We start from the raw sequence: 20,046 nt of genomic DNA, 5'->3' as shown, positions 1-20,046 counted from the left end.
TTGTTCTGTCATTCAGTTCACCGATCTTTTTCTCTGTTCCTTCTATACTGCTATTGTGCCCATTCATTTAAAATTTTTTATTTCAGTTATTGTATTTGTTCAGAGTAACAGTTTCATTTGGTTCTTCCTAATATCTTCTTTTTTTCCCTGAGATTTTTCTCTCTATATATATTTTTTCCCTCTATTTTTTCATTAGTTTCAAGTGAATTCTAATTGTTAAAGCATTTTTTAAATCATGGCTGTTTTAAATTTTTTATCAAATAATTCTGTTTCTGTAATCTTTATATTTAGTTTGAGATCTTCCTGGTTCTTTCTATGAAAAGTTAATTTCTGTTGAAACCTGGGCATTTCAATATTATGTGATGAAACTTTGAATCTTACCTTCTGTTTTAGCCAGCTTTCTCTGACACTACGTCAGTAGCGTAAGGGAGGGTGCCGCCTCATTACTTCAGGTGGAGGTAGAAGTCCAGAGGGAGGAGCTCCTTGTTATGCTGGATAGGGGTGTGTAGAATACTATGAGACATATTGTGGCTATAAGATTAATGATAGTGCATGAGGCCCACTGAAATATCTTGCAGGGCTGATACTACATGTCATGTAGGAATTTACAACCCTGGCTCAGGGATTTCCAGGAAAAAAAAGCCACCTCAGCACAGATGCAGCTTTCATAAACCTTAGAACAAAGCTTACTTTTACAATAATAGCTTAAATACCCTTTATGAAAGAAACAGCTGGTAACTAACCTGGACTAAATACAGGTATAAGAAAGGGAGAAGGACCCCCAAAGTCTGACAATGGTCTCTGGATGAAGACTCTCTGGTCAGTTCATGATCTGACCCCCTGACTGTATCTGGCCCATGACACCAGCTTATTCTCACTATCCATCTTCTAAGAGTGCTGCCAGAATAAACCGATTGAGCATTAGATGGTGCCTAAGACTCATCTTTGATGTGAAGTGAACAGAAAAGGAGACATCGCCCCTGGGGAAGCTGGTTAACTAGGTCCACCTACAACCTCTGAACACAACTGGCATTGAGGATAGGATAAGTAAGTGAGCAAGTAAGTAATGGCACCCATTTCTAAGGAAGGACTGGGAAAGGGTGACTGGGGACTGGTTCTGATCAAGAAGTCAAATGAAGCCCTCCGGAACACTCCGTAGTGTGTCTGGTAGTTTTTATTTTACTTTGTGGCCTGTTGCTGCCTTCTACATACTTTGTCTGTGCCTCTGTTGTGAAATTGCCACCATGAAAAACCTGCCAAAATTATTCTTAAGACCACTCTGGTCCCCAGTAACTGGGGACAGGCTCTAAGGAGGAGGAAGCAGAGGTGGAGGATGCCCCGGCTTGAAGAGCTAACCACTGGCTGGTGTGTCTCTGGCTCCTGCTGTGGGAGGGTTGCTCCTTGCCCCCAAGGATCTTGGCACTGTGATGCCACAGACCAAGAAGGCAAAGGTGAAGCTTACCTGCTGAAGGGTTATGTGCTGTTGCCCACCAGCTAGGGACTTAGAAGCATATTTCCCAATAGATCCTTGGACTAACACCACCAGTGAAGTCCACAAGAATCATCAAAGGGCATGTCGCAGCTGTTCCCAGCCCACCATGCACTCCAGCTGAGACAGTGTGGCTTCTCAAGGGGTGTGCCCCAGCCTGTGATGTCTGCTGAGTGTTGCTGGCAGCAGCCCATAGGCAACATGCCCAAGTCACGCGGGCTCACCTCAGAGTCGTGTCATTCTGCCTGGTCGATCCAGAGCCCTGTGAGCTGTGGAATGATGATCCTGGGTGTGCTGGCTTACCGCTGGCCACACCACAGGTGTCACCAGTCATCACTTGGGCTGAGAAAGCTGCTGCCACCTCCACAGCTGGCTGAGATGAGGAAGTGTGTCCTAGACACCATATGGTCCATGAAGAGGTTCACCCCTAATGTGGACAGAAATTCAAAGCCTGCTCAAAGACCTGGTGCAGGAACCCAAAGAGAAAGGCACCACCTGGCTGTGCTGTGTGTACCTGAGAGGAAGTGCTTTGCAACTCATAGGCCGAGAAATACAAATACAGCAGCCAGCGGCTATCTTTAAAGATAATAAGATCATTTCCTTATTTCAAGACCCTGTTGAGCTTATCCAGGCACAGAGTAGAGTGGGTAGACATAACTGTCCCTGCAGTCCGCTGCAGTGGCTATTCAGGCCTGGCAAATAGCACCCCCAGAATGAGCCTCTTTTCATCAAGGGCTGAAGGTGGCTGGTGCACACTGAGGAAGAAGGGGAGCCACTGTGGCGCTTAGGCATGCTCCAGTGAGTTTGCACAGCCGCCACTCCCATGGGACAGGGGCACAACTGGGAGACCTTGGAACAGACCACCTTGCACCCGGATGGTTTACAGATGTTTTTAAGGAGAGCCCATCATAAGCCAAACCAACTCTCCTGGCCCTGATGGCCACAGTCCCTGAAGTTAATTGAGCTCTGTAGGTCCTCATCACCCTGGAAAATGCTGAAGAATAGCTAAGAATCCCTAAGAAAACTTAGGGAACTCACCCTATACCACTCTTCAGGTCCAGGGTCCCTAGCGGGCTGCCTTCTTTGCACCTTTCAGACAGAACCATCCAACAGTGTTCACAACAGCACCTCGCTCCCTACCCACCACACAGGACCTTGCAGCCAGAGGTCTCACACTGGGCTCTGCTCTCCCTGGCCTTCTCACACCCCTCACCCACGGGATGAGGCCCAGTCCAGCTGTTCACAAGGGCAGAGTGACCTCTACTGGCAGATACGCTGAAGGGTGCTTCCAAATTGGCTCCTGTCTGGCAAGCCTCATGAATTCCTGCAAACTCTCCTTAATACCAATGTCGTCCAGTCATCCCACCCACTGACCTACCACCCATCTGGATGGCTGAGCATCAACTTCCACCTTTGGGAAGATGTCTTCACTGCTAACATTCCTGCCCTGTGTCCAGGATGACCCACCTGGACTGTCCCACCCACCCTACCTATATCCCTCCCTGGCAAGACCTTTACTGGTATATTTGCCTAGGGGTCTCTTGGGCCACCACTGTTCCTGCAGCCAGTGCCTCCTAGAGACACTTGGTGCCCCAGCTGTGCCTGACAGCCATCTGGAATGGACAACACCTTGAACTTTGGCTTCATCGGGCCGTGTTCAAGATCACGATTTTGGATCTTTGACAGCACCTCAGCACACACAGTGTCCCCAGACCTAATTGCTTAGTTCTGTGTCCTCCTTATCCTTCTGTTCCATTTTCACCTGTCATTGCTCTGTAATCAAGCAACTCTAAGCCTGCTACCACTGAGTCCATTCAACTCCTTTCACCTGCTCATGTAATCGTGTTTCCAAGCCCCAGTGTGCCCGTGTTCTTTTGCTGCTACTCCGGGTGGCCTGACTTTCCACATCCAACTGTGGCTTCTCCAGACCTATTCACCAATTACTTGGCACTGAGGTCACTGACAGCCTCCACCACATTTTGGCCACCCACTGAGCAGCTAACCTTCCAGCCTGCTGGGCATGCCTTCATTGGCCTGCCACACATCCATTGCTTCCCGTCCAGACTTGGTCGCTACCTGTCCTCCACTCTTCCCCCATCATTGGCGAGTCTGCCCCAAAGCCACAGCCGAACCCCATTCTCATGATCTCCCCTAACTGCTCAGCTGGACACTAGATCTACTGTATCCTCTCTGTGATGATACAGTTCATTTCCAGGTTTTTCCAAGGGCGCCACCAACTCCTACTCACCGTCCTACAGAAGATCCATTTCTCAAGATTTGACTGACCATGGAGCGCACTTTCAAACTTGGGCAGCCTCTCAATTATTGACCCCCTCAGGGTCAGGGGTGGAGTGTGGTATACAATGAGATATATTATGGCTATAAGATTAATGATAGGCATAAGGCCACTCAAGCAACTCAGAGGGTCAGTCCTATCTGTCAAACTTAGCAGTATGAAGCAACCTGGCCGGGGATTTCCAACCAGATTTCCAGGAGACCAGGTCACCTCAGCACGATGCAATTTTCACAAACCTTGGAACAAAGCTTACCCTTACAAGCATAGCTTAATCTCTCTTTGTGAACAAAACACCTGGTAACTGACCTGGATTGAATACAAGTATAAGAAAGGAGGAAGGATCCCCTAAACTCTGAGAAAGGTCTCTAGATGAAAACCCTCCTGGTCTGTCAGTCATCTAACCTGTGACTAAATCTGGCCCACGACACCATCCTGCTCCTGCTATTCTTCTGGTAAGAGCACTGCCAGAATAAAATGCATGAGCATCAGACGGTGTACAAGACTCAACAATGATGCAAAGCGAACTCAAGGGAAGAGGCTTCCCTGGGAAGCTGGTTAACTAGGACCACCCGAAACACGCGAGCACCACAGGGTGGAATTCACTGACATCATGGAGGAGGTGGCTTTGTCACTGCTGGGCCATGGTGAAAGTCCCGATTCTCCACTAGGCCTCCCATGTCATTGCCAGCAGGGAGGCAAAGGGTGCCTGGTGACAGTCTGGGGGGATGGAATCTAGGCTGGCATGGGTGTGGGTGGGGTGAACAGATTATTCTGTGGTGTTCGGATGGAATGGAGCGGTTGGGGTCTAAGAGTTTTCTATCTTCCTAGGCTGCTCCTTTCCTGGCCCTGTGTCTAGAGAGAGAACAGGATTTTGTGAGGGCTTTTTATCTTTTTAAAGTTTTTTTGCCTGTGTCTGTTGCCATTTCCAGGCTGGCTGGCTTCTTCAGTTCTCAGGCTGGGATACATGAAGCAAAAAGAAAACTTAGGGAACTCACCCTGTACCATTCTTCAGGTCCAGGGTCCCTAGCGGGCTGCCTTCTTTGCACCTTTCAGAGTCTTCTTATGTTTATTTTATATGGAATGTCAGGATTTTTAATTTTATTAGTAGGAGGAATAGAGAAACATATGTTTATCTTCTCAGAAGTAGAAATACTTCATTAAAAAAAATTTGTTTATTTACCTGAAGGGTCTTTCACCTCCTGTGGCGTTTGCTCTTCTGATTAGAGAGCATTTTTGTGTTGGAAAGCTCCCTCCTGTTCCTGTGGAGCTGTGGGCCTGGAGAGGACAGACCAATCTTTACAACAGTGTCTTCTTCCTGAACCCTGTGGGCACCTCACTGTCTTCAACACGCAGGCCTTGGCATAGACTTCTCCCTCTGCCTGCAACACCTTCCTCTCTACCTCGTCCACTGCCTAAGCCTTAGTTATTCTTCAGTTTTCATTTTAACACATTACTTATTTAAAGAGACTTTTCCTATTACCTGGATACATTTGCATTCCCTTCTGCTAAATGTTTCTAGAAGCACCTTGTACTTTCTTTATCATCTCCATTATCAAACTGTATTACAGTTATTTATTTAGTGTCTGTTTTACTGAATAGCCTGTAATTCATGAAGGTGGGGAAGATGACTTCGTTGTTCAATCCTGTATCAAATATCTGGTTCCTACTGCAGTGCCCAGGACAAAGCAAGACATTAACAACTTTAGCTTGAATATTAACTAATAATGTAGTTAGGCTCATAAATATCCTATTATCTGATGACCCCAAGTGCTCCCTGAAATTTCCTTGGCCACTTGGGCTGCTCCTCTGGGATCCTGGACCTCCCCTTGACCTAGAAACTTAAAGGCTAGTACTGGCACAGCAGGGGTCCTCCAGGATCTTTCTTCAGTCCTAAGGCTTGGGGCCATTCTGGTTGGTTGTTGTTTAGGACATAGCAGTTGTAAAATAGTTTGACCCCATCCCTGATTATATGAATGAATGAATTAGATCCAGAAGCTCCAAGCCTGCCCAGCACTCCTAAACCACAGCCAGTCATACAGAATTTGCTTTCTTCATAGTCTGCATTAGTGCCTGGAGCTCTTATTGTGGTTGATTCCCCTTTTTCCATATATCAGCTATGGCCTGATTATATACAATGACATGTTCTAGCAAAGTCATCATAACTCCAAGCCAGTTCATCCTTGCTTCATCTCTAGCCAAGGTCTTATTTCCTCTTGTAATCTTTTTTGGGTGTCTTTGTTATGTCTCCAAAACTGCTCACAGATCACACAGTCATCACTTGCTTTGTGGGTCATATGACGTCTTGCAGTGAAGTCTATCTCCCTTCTGACTGGACTGTGTGTAAACTGACTCAGGATCACATCCTTGAGTCCGCATCCTTTTAAACACTAGTTCTCCTCTCTACTCAGTACCACATCCTTTTCTTCTTCCATGAAGTAGGCCTATTTAAAACAACAACGACAACAAGAAGCACTATTTCCTCTAATATTTCCCTGACTTGGTATTTTCTCTTTGATTCATTCATTCTGCTCTATTAAACCCCTTTACTCTCTGGACAAACCAGTGATTCCCTGCTCTTCTTTTATGGTTGTGTCCATTCTTAAGAACTGGGCATTAGATTATTGGGAACGTATATCTCTTGGAAGCTTCATTTAGTTGCTTTGCCTCATGCGATGTTTGCACTGTAAATCTTTTTTACTATCATGGATTTGATATCTCTACATCAAAGCAAAGGTTGCAGTTATCTAATTAGATTTTAAATCTATTTCTACATGATTTGATCAGTCTTTTTAAAATCGTATTTCTCATTCTAGTTTCATCCTTAGGGAATCAAATCAGGAATGGCAAATGGGTTTCATCCTCCTCTCTGGTCACATAGCAGTACTCGTCCACCGTTATGAGAGGATTTTGAGATTATCAAAGCACAAAGGAGTGCTGTGATTTATAAACACCTGCAAGAGCAATGCTAAGAGGAGAGGTATCATTCATGATTTATACATTCACATAGGCACTACCATTGTCGCAGACCTCTCTATCTTCTTTGTGTTGTGTGGCCTTTTTTGAGGCTACTTGCAGAAACAGATGGATCCTTGAGACTGAGATGCAGAAACTTGTAAGTTCTAATGACTTCTTTTCCAGTGATAAGGCTATCATGACTGAAACTATGATTTTCAGAAGGAGGCCGAATACTTTAAGTCATTATCCTGATGAAATGACTTTGAAATATTTGAGTTTCGATTTGAGATTGCTAATTGCTGACGTTGTATTATTTTTGTAGGCAGCACTCAGCGTATTTGGTATGGTTGGTGGACCACTTATGGGCCTGTTCGCTTTGGGCATTTTGGTTCCCTTTGCCAACTCAATTGTAAGTACAAAGAATGAATATGCTTGAGGATTACTTTTTGAACTATACTAGCAGCTCTACACTTTTTTCTCAGTTGGTTCCTTTGAGATTTGTCATTAGCTACTTGTCTTGATGACTTAAATTATTTCTGTTGACTTTGGTGGAGTGTACAAGGAAGTACTATGTATGGGGACCCTAAATGTGTGAAGCTCAATGGAAACTTCCAGAACCATATAGGGCAATTTTAAATATTCATAATATAACTAAAGGAGCAACATTTTTATGCACGTACCTACTTGCCCTTCTCAAAAATTAATAGCTAGGATTTAAAAGAGATCAATAGGCTCAGAGATGAGAGATTTAAGGGCAGAAAACTTAGGATTTCTGTGAATAGCCATAGCACAGCAAAGAGAAGGAACACAATCTTACCACCTTGGCCAGGAATTTTCTACTCCTGACATTTAAAGCTGTAGCTCCCACAACATGATTTAGCCCCAAAGGGGTGATCATAATTGGGAATATTTTCCAGAAAGACGTAATATCTCTGTCCTTCTACCTAGACATATCTGTGCTTAGAAGTGCTAACTTTTGTTTGGAATAAATGAGCTAGAAATTATTTCTCTGAAACCCAGAAGAAAGTCCACTGGTTCAGTCTGGCTATAAGATGTAGTTCAGGAAAAACTGATAATGTATGTGCAGTCGCTTCAGATATAGAATAGCCATAGAACTCTGACTTCACATTTGGAATTCTATTTTCCTTATAAGGCATTAGGAATTGGTAAGGCAGATATTAATAAGGACTATTGTGGTTATTATTTATTATCCTCAATGAAATGTCATATGAAAAGCTGCTTTTGTAGGAATTAATCACAATGAAAGAGATTTGTTTGTGTCCACCTCAGAATGTTGAAGCTTGGATTAGATTCTTTGCGTGATGAAATGCATTAGTTTGTTAAGTATTAGAAAAATGTATTTAAAAATCAACTTTTGATATTTGGCATTTGTTGCCAGCGTGTATTTCCTCCGGAAGAGCTGTAGCTGACTAAGCTAACATGTCCTTTTCTGGGGGCGGTAACGGAAGAATAACATACTATTCTTCCTGCCATAAACAGTATCTTTTTTTTTTTTAAACCATGTCCAGGTTTTTCACCAGCAGATTATCTGCCTTCCTTAAAAGTGGCCTTTCTCACTCCTTTTTCTCTCCCTGCCTCAATACCTTTCATTCATTTATTCACTTGTTCATTTATTCAATAGATTTTTATGGGCTGAGCACTATCTTGGGAGGAGAGAGCGTTGAATGTTTCTGCCCTTGTGAGTTTTATAATTTCGTGCCATGTTGAACTTGGCTTTCTAATATTAATTTTGACATCAAAGCAAATTGTATTATTTTTCTTTTAAAGGCATTCTTGTTTTACAGGGAGCACTTGTTGGTCTGATGGCTGGATTTGCCATTTCTCTATGGGTTGGAATTGGAGCTCAAATATATCCTCCACTTCCTGAGAGAACATTGCCATTGCACCTTGATATCCAAGGCTGTAACAGCACCTACAATGAGACAAATTTGATGACAACCACAGAAATGCCATTTACTACTAGTGTTTTTCAAATATACAATGTTCAAAGGTATTGAATTAAGTTTTATTACATTATACTTTAAAAAATTTACGCAACAAGTAGAGAACCCCACTTGCTTTTTGTCTTGCTTACAACACTGTGATTTTGCCTAATTCTGAAATGAGTAAAACCCATGTGGTTAGCTATAGTATTTTCTGCAGCGGTAACAAAAAATGTCATATTTTCATAATTTCTCTAGAAATTTCTGCCTTGTCTACAGATCTAAGAAAACTTAAATATTAATGAGAAACTTCTGTTATGTGTAAACTCTCCTAAACACCAGCTCTTAGCTGCATGAAGAATTATCTTTGTCTTGGAAAAACTTTTAAAATGGAAAGCACAATTATAGAATAAATATTGCTTATATAGTCTTAGAAAGATAGATTTTACTGACCAAAAGCTACAATTATTTAAACATGTTAAATAACTGCCATTTGTTCAGTTGAAGATTCCAAATCTTTAAAGCATTAGAAGTGATTGCAGCTGTGATCTTCATGCTACAGATTTCAGTCATGCAGTACACTTTGGAGCCTCTAAATGCTGAAGTTGTCTGATTTAACGTACTGAAATAGTGGGTAGAGGCATGCTTTATTGTACAGTGAATGTGAGGTCAAGACTTTCTTTAGTGGATATATAAGTGTCCAGCTTTAAAGCACAAACCCTGTGAATACGTTCAAGGAATGCAAAGATGATGCCATTGCCCCTAGAGTATTGCCCCAGTGCCAGCTTATCTGGAATGACATCAATATAGTCATACCTTTGGGGTCAAGACACGGCATACCCCTCTTAAAATGGACACACTCCTGAGAGAAGGAACGTGATCATACATATAGCCATTATTAGCAATTTGTGTTCTGGAGAGAATTCAGCTATGAGAAAGCTAGCCAGTGGGACTTCCAGGGGCGTTCCAGGCAGGTAAGCTGTGTATGGTAGAGTGGAAAGGTAGTTCCAGAGCCTGAGGCGTATTTGAGGGAAGTTTTACTAGGTGAGGTGCTGTGGAGAGAGGGGCAAGGACATGTGGAGAGCAGTCTGGACAGGCATGAAAGCACTAATGGGAGGGGACTGGGAGAGTCATCAGAGTCAGAAAGGGAGAAAAGATTAATTGAAGGTTAAGTGAGAAGACACAGGATGTTCTTCTTGTTTTATGATTTTGCTTAGCGTTTTCCTAATTATGTAAATATTTGCCCTTAAAAGTCTAAGGCAAAATGGTTATTTGGATTCCTGAAACAAATAAATTAGCTGAAGTTTATTCTATGCCTGGTACCATAATAGTTTTATATGTTAGTTTACTTATCAAATATTTCAGCTAATAAACAAGAATTTTTGAGCATGGACTATGTACCCAGCACTGTGCTGGCCATTTATTTAGTATCCATGGAAGAAAATCTTCCTCTCCCAGCCACTGTTTCCTGCCTTCCAGAAAATTCTAATCTAGCAGGAGGGAATGTGCAAATATACGCAAAACAATAAACTCAGTAAGCATGCTAAGTATAAAAACTAAGACATAGTAAATAAAAAATACTTGATACATTTTTGTTAAAAGAGTGAGTACAAAGTTGGAGTGTAAGTTAGCATGAAGACTTCAGAGATATACTACTACTTCAAGAATGCATAGGTTTGGCTAGATGAAGGGGAAGATCTGGAAAGTCATTCTTGTCACAGAAAATGACCAGAAGGGAAATTGGACAAGAAAATAAATTAAAACATGCATTGTGGTAAGTAATATTCACAGGATATCATGGGAGCCAGAAGGAGGAAGTCTGCCTGACTGGAGTCAAGGAAACCTTCTTAGAGGAGAATTGCATGGGCTGGAGTTAGTCAGGTAGCAGGATTGAGCACAGGGACACAATCTGTATCGCAAGGAAGGAGGAGTGTGTGTCGCAGAATGAAGAAACGACCGGTGCAAAAGCATGAAGGACTGAAGAATCAGGGCATCTTAGGAAATCATCCTAGTTCCATAGGGCTGGAGCACAAGGGTTGTGAGCCACCCAGCTGAAGGTTGAATGTGTGATGCTTTGGTTGCCTAGATACAAATTGTTTCAATTGCCTAGATTCAGTTTTGATTTTTTTAAGTTTACAATATTTGATGGTTACATTGGTAGCTTGCTGTGGTTTTAATTTGTATTTCCCTTAAGATTAATGAAGTCAAATACATTTTCATTTGTTTGTTGGCCATTTGGATATTTACTTTTGCGACTTAGTTATTGAAGTCTTTAGTCCATCTGAAATGGATTCTCTGTCTTTTTCTTACTTACATAGAAGTTCATGACATATTCTAGATATGAGATATGTTTTGAAAATGTTTCTCTCCCATTCTATGGGTTACCTTTTTACTCTTTTAATGATACTTTTTTTGTCAGTCAAAATTTCTTAATTTTAATTTATTTCTGTTTCTCAGTTTTTTCCTATATGGTTAGTCCTTTATGTGTCTTGTTTAAGAAATCCTTGTCTACCCTGCAATCATAAAGATATTCCACTAATTTTTTATTTAAAAGCTTTATTGTTAACCATTTCCATTGAGGAAGTGTAATCCACTTTGGAATTGATTTCTGTGGGTGGTGTGATCAAGATTATTTTTCCCCATGTGGATACTCAGTTAACTAAACACCATTTATTGAAAAGACTCCCCTTTTGCCCCATTGAATGCACTGGCGATGAAAACGATGTTAACCAAGTAACTATTTTTCTGTGGGTCTATTTCTCAATTCTCTACTCTGTTCTATTTTGTCTGTCTTTGGCTCAATATCACACTCTCTTAATTTCATTAGCTCAACTCAATGTGTTCCCCTCCTTTCTGGGTTCTTGTCACCTCAAGTTCTCATTGTTTTGTTTTTGTTTTTGTTTGAGACGGAGTCTCAGTCTGTTGCCCAGGCTCGAGTTCAATGCAACCTCCACCTCTGGGTTCAAGTGATTTTTGTGCCTCAGCCTCCCAAGTAGCTGGGATTACAGGCATGTGCCACCACACCTGGCCAATTTTTGTATCTTTAGTAGAGATGGGGTTTCACCAGGTTGGCCAGACTGGTCTTGAACTCCTGACCTCAGGTTATCCACCTGCCTTGGTCTCCCAAAGTGCTGGGATTATAGGTGTGTGCCACCACCCCAGCCAAGTTCTCATTGTCTTGATCTCTCTGATAGCTTCAAAAACCTGCCTCCCTCCCCATGCCCCAGGTTTTATATATTGTTCTCAGCAGAATGATTGTTCTAAATCAAGCAGCTATCAAAACTGAAAGTGGAATCCTAGAGCAATCATTGTAGAAATGATCATAGAATGTTCATGTTACTCTTTCACTTAAAACATTGCAATGAGTGCCATTGCCTGTAGAGTAAAATTCCAACTCATGCCTGGTCCCACAAAAAGCCCCCTGCCTATCTTTCATCTTGTAATCACTGTCTTGCTCACTGTGCCTCAGTCAGCTGGTGTTTAGTCTCTGTTTTCCTCAAGAACATTTTGTTTCTCAGATCTCAGTTCAAATGTCATTTATTCCCAAAGGTTTTCTCTGACCACTTGTAGTGTAGTTCCTCCCTCTTCACCCTGTTAATAGCACATCATCTTGTTTTACTTTCCTTACAGCACTTTCTACTAGTGGAAATTATTATATTTATTAATTTGTTTATTGTATTTATCTCTCCATTAGAGTATAAACTATATGTTAGCAGGAATCTTATCTACTTTATTTTTAAAAAATAATTTCAACTTTTATTTTAGATACCTGTGCAGGTTTCTTACTTGGGTAAACTCTTGCCTGTCTCCCTTCACCCTCTGGTAGTCCCCAGTGTCTATTGTTCCCTTCTTTGTGTCCATAAGTAACCAACATTTAGCTCCTACTTATAAGTGAGAACATGTGGTATTTGGTTTTCTGTGCCTGCATTAATTTGCTTGGATAATGGCCTCCAGCTGCATCCATGTTGCTGAAAAGGACATGATTTTGTTCTTTTTTCATGGCTGCATGGTATTCCATGGTGTATATGTACCACATTTTCTTTATCCAGTCCACCATTGATGGGCACCTAGGTTGATTGCATGTCTTTGCTGTTGGGAATAGTGCTGCGATGAACATATAAGTGCACGTGTCTTTTTGGTAGAACAATTTATTTTCCTTTGGATGTATACCCAGTAGTGGGATTGCTGGGTCAAATGGTTTATCTACCTTATTTATGGCTGACTGTCCAATCACAAGAGCAGTGCCTGGGACATCATGCAGAATTGAATGAATAAACATGACCTTCAAGTATTTTAGTATATAGTCAAGGTGAAGTTTTGCTTTCAATTCCTGATCTGATAAGATAAAATTAGGACAGCAGGTTATGACATTAAAAACATTATTAAGTGTTATATTTTGACCTTGCCATGGGAATCACTGGTATATACTGGTAGTTGCTAGTGGCATTACATGAAATCTTACCGTTGTGTTTTTGCTCTCTTAGGACTCCACTGATGGATAACTGGTATTCTTTATCATATCTGTACTTCAGCACTGTTGGAACTTTGGTAACATTATTAGTGGGGATACTTGTCAGTTTATCAACAGGTAACTATCTAAACATTAGTATTGTTGTATTTACCTCTATATCAGTTTTTACTGTATCTGTTTTATAGCTATTTATGTTATTTTACTATGATCCTATTGCCAACTAGTTTAATTATTTCTTCTGTTTTACTCATGGGAAATCTGAAGGCCTAGACTTGAAAGCAGAAGACTCATTTCTATTTGAATCTTGGTTCTGCCCTTTAGGGGCTGCATGAACTTGGGCAAGTCACATAGCTACACTGAGCCTCAGCTTTCTTATGTATAAAATGAGGACAATAATAATCGACCTGCCCATCTCACAAGTTGCTGTAAGACAAAAATAAGATGCTTGAAAAGAACTTCATAACTGCTATGATGTTAGGGATTTTACACATATTTTTATAATAACCCAATATGCTGTGATCTTTACATGGTCCAGTATTCATTCTTTGTGAACTGTAAAGAAGCATACACAGGTTATATCTAAACATAGTGTGGAGGCTTTTTTTTCAGATATTTATCATTTTTTAAAAAGTGTGTTCATTTTTAAAAAATCAAATTGATACACATAGTATATAAATTGCTCTCTGGGATTGCTATAGAACGGTTATCTTGGGACTCCATTTTGTCCTCATTCTATGAATTCTCTTAGCCCCTGTTCCTGTGTTGGGTTTTCTACTGCCTATATTCATTACTTCTCATTCTCATTTACTCCCTTAATTGAATGAAACACATCCTATAGCATATTCTCAAGAAAGAGTAGACAAAAGAAGAGGTTTTGGAAACTTTGTGTGTCTGAAAAAAAATTATTTAATCTATCTTATGCTTGATTGATTGTTTGAGTAGAAATTGCTAGGGTTGAAAAGAACTTTTCTTTTTTCTGAGAGGATGTCTGAATTTTTTTCTAGCTTGCTATGTTGCTGTTGTGACAGCGCTCTGCTACCAGCTGACACTTTGTGTGTGTCCCATTTTCACAATGACTGCCTTGGCCTAGGCCTTCAGTAGGGCCCATTCAATCTGAAGATCCATGCCCTTCAGTTCTGGACATTTTCTTTTTTGTTTTCTTTTCTTCCTTTTTATTTCTATTTTTAATAATTTTCTGTGTTCTCTCTCTGAGAACTCCTATTAGTCAAACATTTGAATCAGAATCATGGACAGTTCCTCTAATTTTCTCGTTTTTTTCTCTCTTATTTTTCCTCTCCGTGTCTTTTAGGTCTACTATGTGAGATATTTTTTCACTTACTTTTCCAATAATTCTCAAAGGAGTGCTCTGATCCAATTTTGAGAATAGTCTGTAGGGGAACGAGGGCAGGGAAGAGGCTATTGCAGTAACCCAGGTGAGAGATCACAGTGCTGGGGCCGGGGTAGTGCGGAGTTGGTGAAACATGCTGGGCTCCCTGACTCCCTACATCCCCTCACATGTATGCATCCATAGCAGCCACGCCAGGGGAAGGGTGCAACTGCCTCCTTCAACATGTGTTACAACTAGTTGTGTTCAAGGATGTCTGATGTCTTTGTTTGCTCCATGCTACAAAGCTGCCAGCACTGTGCCACTTTACAGAATCCTGCTATCATTTTCTGTTTTTTGGCACTGAGATAGCACTGTCTCTCAAACTTCTGTGACACTTGTATTTATAATTATAAAATTTGTTGCTATTCATTATTTCTCAGTTGTTGGAAAATATTCTTTCTTTTCCAAAAGGACTGTGCTCTTTCTCAAAAATAAAATTCCCAGTACAGTAGGTTTATTAATTTGTTTGGTCCAGTTTGATATATTTTCAGACAGATTTTTGTTGTTGTTGTTGTTGCTGTTGAGATGGAATCTCGCTCTTTTGCCCAGGCTGGAGTACAGTGGTGCGATCTTGGCTCACTGTAACCTCTGCCTCCTGCGTTCAAGGGATTCTTCTGCCTCAGCTTCCCGAGTAGCTGGGACTACAGGCACGCACCACCACGCCCGGCTAATTTTTGTAATTTTAATAGAGATGGGGTTTCACCATATTGGCCAGGCTGGTCTCGAACTCCTGACCTCAGGTGATCTGCCCACCTTGGTCTCCCAAATTGTAGGGATTACAGGCGTGAGCCACCACCATGCCCAGTCTTAAGACAGATTTTCATCTTTTCCCAGCAGTTATTCAGTTGTTCAGATCTGGAATACACCTAACCAGTCTCCCTGTACTATTTGCCCTTTGGTCCTTATTTAGCTCATTTTTTAAAAGAAAGTGGAGTATCAGAGTAGCTCCTTTGAATACTCCTTTTTTTCTTTTAAATGCTTTGATTCTGAAAAACCATATACAGCTATATCTTTTGTTTCAAGAAGTAACACTCTACCTCAGTGACTGGGATCCAGTAATAGAAAACACTTCAACTTCATTAACTTCACAAATAACTTATTCCTACTTCACAGAAGCAGTGAGTACCTTGAAAACTATGAGAAGCACACAATTTTGATGCTCCCTGGGAAACAGATTTTAAAACCTATCGTAGTATACTAAAACTCCCATAAGAGTTCAGGCCTTACAGACTTGGTTGGCGTTTCAGCACTCCCCTGATTTTTACTATGCAGAAGGCTATGTTTTCATCAGGAAAATGGGGGCAAATAGTTTCCTAAGTAGATCACAAACTGTGGGCACAGAGATTGTTTTGTTTCTTTGTTTCTCTAGCACCTAGCAGCATCTCCAGCACACAGTAGGTACTCAATAACATTGAACGAATTCATTTAAAATTGATTCTATCTCCAGAACAGCAGAGGTTCCCATAATTAAAAGTCTAGTATTTGTACTAAAGTAGTGGTTCTTAAACTTTAGAGGGCATAAGGATCCTCTTGGAAATTTTATAAAAATCAGGCTTCAGGGGTCCTACCTGCAGAGGTCCTAATTTGGTCAGTCCAGGCTAGAGTCTGGGAATCTGCATTTTAAGTACATTCCTTGAATGATTTGGGGAAGGGTAGTTTGAGGACCACTCTTTGAGATACACAATTTTTAAAAGCATCCTCTTTGATCCACAAAAAATACCAAAGCAAAATAGAATTTTTTTTTTTTTTTTTGTAAAGAAAACCTTAGGGAAGAGGATTTGGATCAAACGTCAGTCAGCATACTAATTTTCACTTAAGTAATTTATTCAGCAGTTCCGAATTGCCTGCATTTCTTCATAGACATGTATATTTGTAGCCAACAAAGTGGGGAAAAGCAGCTCCACTGTCTGAAGCGGGGCAGATGGTTTGATATTTTACTGATGGCATGGAGGGTGCTTTTAAACCAGTTTTCCTACCAGCATTGGGCCAGATGACTGTTTCTCTAGTTGAGTACCAGATGAAGCAGTTGGCTTGCGTTTAAGCTCTATCTCACACACATATATATGATACATATATATATATATATATATATATATATATATATAGAGAGAGAGAGAGAGAGAGAGAGAGAGAGAGAGAGAGAGAGAGAGAGACTCATATTTATTATAGTGAGAGGCTTTCAAGACCTGGGGCTAATTAAGGAAAGGGGAATTGCGGGCTAAGTGATCAGTGCTTTTAAGTTTCCCTTTCTCTTTGTGTTTTTTGAATGTATGGAGTTGAACGTGAACAAGTTAAATGCCTGTATAATGGAATGTCTCTGTGTAGTTACTGGTGTCCTTTTTAACAACGTAAGTCATGTACATTTTTTTTTCCAGGAGGAAGAAAACAGAACTTAGACCCCAGATACATACTAACCAAAGAGGACTTTTTATCCAATTTTGATATTTTTAAGAAAGTGAGTTGGCTTTCATTTACCTTGAGTTAGGAAACTGGGCTTTATTACCTGGATAGAACACTAATTAGTTCTCAACCTCTTTCTTGAAAAGTGATGGACAAGGAAGGTATAGACCCTATATAATCTGATGATCTATATATGTTGGATAGCTCTCTATCCTATGATGATCTATATCTGTTTTATAGCTCCATATCCTCTGATACGCTATACCTATTGCTTATCTGTGTATCCTCTGATGAGCTATATCTGTTGCATATCCTCTTTCCTTTGATGATCTTTATCTGCTGTATATCTCTCTATCCTCTGATAACCTATATCTGTTGTATATCCCTCTATTCTCTGATGAGCTACACCTGTTGTATATCTATCTCTCTCTATCCTCTGATAACCTATATCTGTTGTATATCCCTCTATTCTCTGATGAGCTATACCTGTTGTATATCTCTCTATATCTGTCTATCCTCTGATAATCTATATCTATTGTATCTCTCTCTATATCTGTCTATCCTCTGATAACCTGTATCTGTTGTATATCTCTCTATATCTGTCTATCCTCTGATAACTTATATCTGTTATATCTCTCTATATATCTGTCTATCCTCTGATATTATAAATCTGTTGTATATCTATTGTCTGATGGGCTATTTTGTATCTATCTTCTGATAACCTGTATCTGTTGAATATCTCGGTATCCTCTGAGGAAGTATACCTGTTATATATTTCTCTCCCTCAGTAGATTAGAAAGCTGATGCAGAGAAATAAAAATAGTAGAAACAATTATTTAGAATTACATGAATGAAGAGCTTCTTTTTCTCCCCCTAATCACCATGTTAACATTTTCTTTTAGAAGAAGCATGTTTTGAGCTATAAATCACATCCAGTGGAAGATGGTGGAACTGATAATCCTGCTTTCAACCACATTGAATTGAACTCAGATCAGAGTGGCAAGAGCAATGGGACTCGTTTGTGAAGCTGCTCTGATACTAGATATCCTTAAATGATGTTTCAATTTTATATGTTTTCTAAGATAATTGGATCAGGTTTTCTTTGTGTGTGTGTGTGTGTTGTATCATGAGTGTTTGGGGGATAAGTTTTTGTTAAAACAAAGTCTGGACTATCTTCATTTACTACATCATTAATTGATGTTACTCTGGAGTTTAGAATTCTGGCATTGACATTTCCCTCTCTTTCCTTTATTTCGATGAAGCTATAATTGTGAAAATTGTAACTACATAGATGCTGAAAGGCTAATACACACATATGCACATGTATTTGATTGTCAAAGGTATATTCTTAAATTTGGGTATTATTGAAAATATTTTCCATGCCTTGGTGCTAGCATATAAGTTTGGAAGTTTGCCAACATCACAATTCATCTTGAAAAGAGCTTTTTTCCCTCCTACCACATACACCATTCTTAGGGAGCAATGAGGTAACAGGTCTGTGTTGTCTAGATCTTTGCTTTTTATCCCCCTATCAGTCCAGGGCATATACTAACCTGCAAACTGATTCTGAATCAGGAAGGTGGTAATCAATAAGTATTCTGGCTGGGAAAGACCGTGGGCCCAATGATCAAAGTCTTCTTGGTGCTGTTCATTAATTCTTGTGCCTTTTGGCTTGTTTTCTAGAGTTTCTGGGCTTTGGCTGCTGATACTGCCTTTCTTAGACTGTAATTTTTATCTGCATGCCCAGTTTCTGACCTATCAACTTGGGTTTTATTGTGCACTCTAACTGAGCTTGTCTTCATAATTTTCTGTTTATTGCCCTGGGCTTGGATATGTCTCAAGACACTCATGTGAATCATGCCACCCCAAATCCTGGCTTATCAAGTCCCAGACTATAAATTATGAACTCCCATTAGCTTGGTACTAACATATACTTGATGTAGGTATTTATGGACTTGATGATCCAAGAATATTATATTCTTCAAAATGGTTAAGCTCCATGGAGTTAGATGACTACACTTAATGCTATTAAGTTGAACTTTTGAATGTCAACTAATTTGCAATCAATTAAAGATACATATGCCTAGAAATTTTGAAATTTCGGTATATTTATCCAGTTAAAGGGCTAAATTATATAAGCAAACACTACTTTTTTTAAAACGTCTGGACTCAAAAAATGCTTTGTTCCATGTTTTAAAATTTTTAAGTAGCAGTCTCAAAGTTGCTTAGCTGTTTATTTTGCTATGTTCCTAGCTAAGAGTTTGGTTATAGGAGTTCATCAATAACTTATTTTTTGTACAGTTCCCACATTAGATACTGTTTAAAAGTTCTTTTTTAAACTCAATTTTTTTTAGAAACATAAGAGAAATATTTAGATACATACAAATGTTTTTATGATTAAATAATTTTATGCTTATTTTCTGATACGTGTTATTTAGGTAATCATGCCCTGTACATTTAGAGGTTGCTAACTGACAATGTTAAGAAATTTAAAAAAAAAAAAAAGCCTGGGCATGATGGCTCATGCTTGTAATCTGAACATTTGGGAGGCTGAGGCAGGAAGATCGCTTGAGGTCCAGAGTTTAAGTCCAGCCTGGAAACATAGTTAGACCTCATCTCTACAAAAATAAAAAATAAAAATAAAAAAAACTTAGCTAGGCATGTTGCCACATACTTGTAGTCCCAGTTATTAGGGAAGCTGAGGTGGGAGGATAGCTTAAGCCCAGGATTTCAAGGCTGCATTGAGCTATGATTACACCACTGCACTCCAGCCTGGGTAACAGAGTGAAATCTTGTCTCTGGGAAAAAAAAAAAAAAAAAAAAAAAAGAGAGAGAGAGAGGGAGATTTATATAACATTTAAATTAACTGCATAAACCTGGGCAATGTTCAAAACTCCATCTCTACAAAAAAACACAAGAATTAGCCAGGCACGGTGGTGTGTGTCTGTAGTCTCAGCTACTTAGGAGGCTGAGGTGGGAAGATTGCTAGAGCCAGGAGGTCGAGGCTGCACTGAGCTGTGATTGCGCTACTGTACTCCACCCTGGGTGATGAAGCCCTAACTCAATAAATAAATAAATAAATAAATAATACAAATAAATTAACTA

At 40.1% G+C, this 20,046-nt stretch overlaps 1 protein-coding gene across 3 annotated transcripts in view; it reads left to right on the top strand.

Moving 5' to 3' along the window:
- Positions 1-19,752, top strand: part of SLC5A8 (solute carrier family 5 member 8) — a 54,746-nt gene extending 34,994 nt beyond the window's left edge. The window contains exons 11-15 of one of the 3 annotated variants that reach the window (XR_007063055.1): positions 7,063-7,149; positions 8,546-8,751; positions 13,168-13,271; positions 14,464-14,587; positions 16,917-16,996. Coding sequence is in view for 2 of the 3 variants with exons in the window: in NM_145913.5 (NP_666018.3) it covers positions 7,063-7,149; positions 8,546-8,751; positions 13,168-13,271; positions 16,917-16,996; positions 17,844-17,966 (600 nt within the window). In the remaining variant the exon portion in view is untranslated. The other 2 variants (NM_145913.5, XM_017018910.3) reach the window with 2 other exon arrangements.
- Positions 19,753-20,046: the final 294 nt, after the last annotated feature.

This window comes from Homo sapiens, chromosome 12 (genome assembly GCF_000001405.40).
Source record: "Homo sapiens chromosome 12, GRCh38.p14 Primary Assembly".
Classification (NCBI taxonomy): domain Eukaryota; kingdom Metazoa; phylum Chordata; class Mammalia; order Primates; family Hominidae; genus Homo; species Homo sapiens.
Note: the sequence above shows the minus strand (reverse complement) of the source record. Positions and strands in the feature narration are given on the sequence as shown.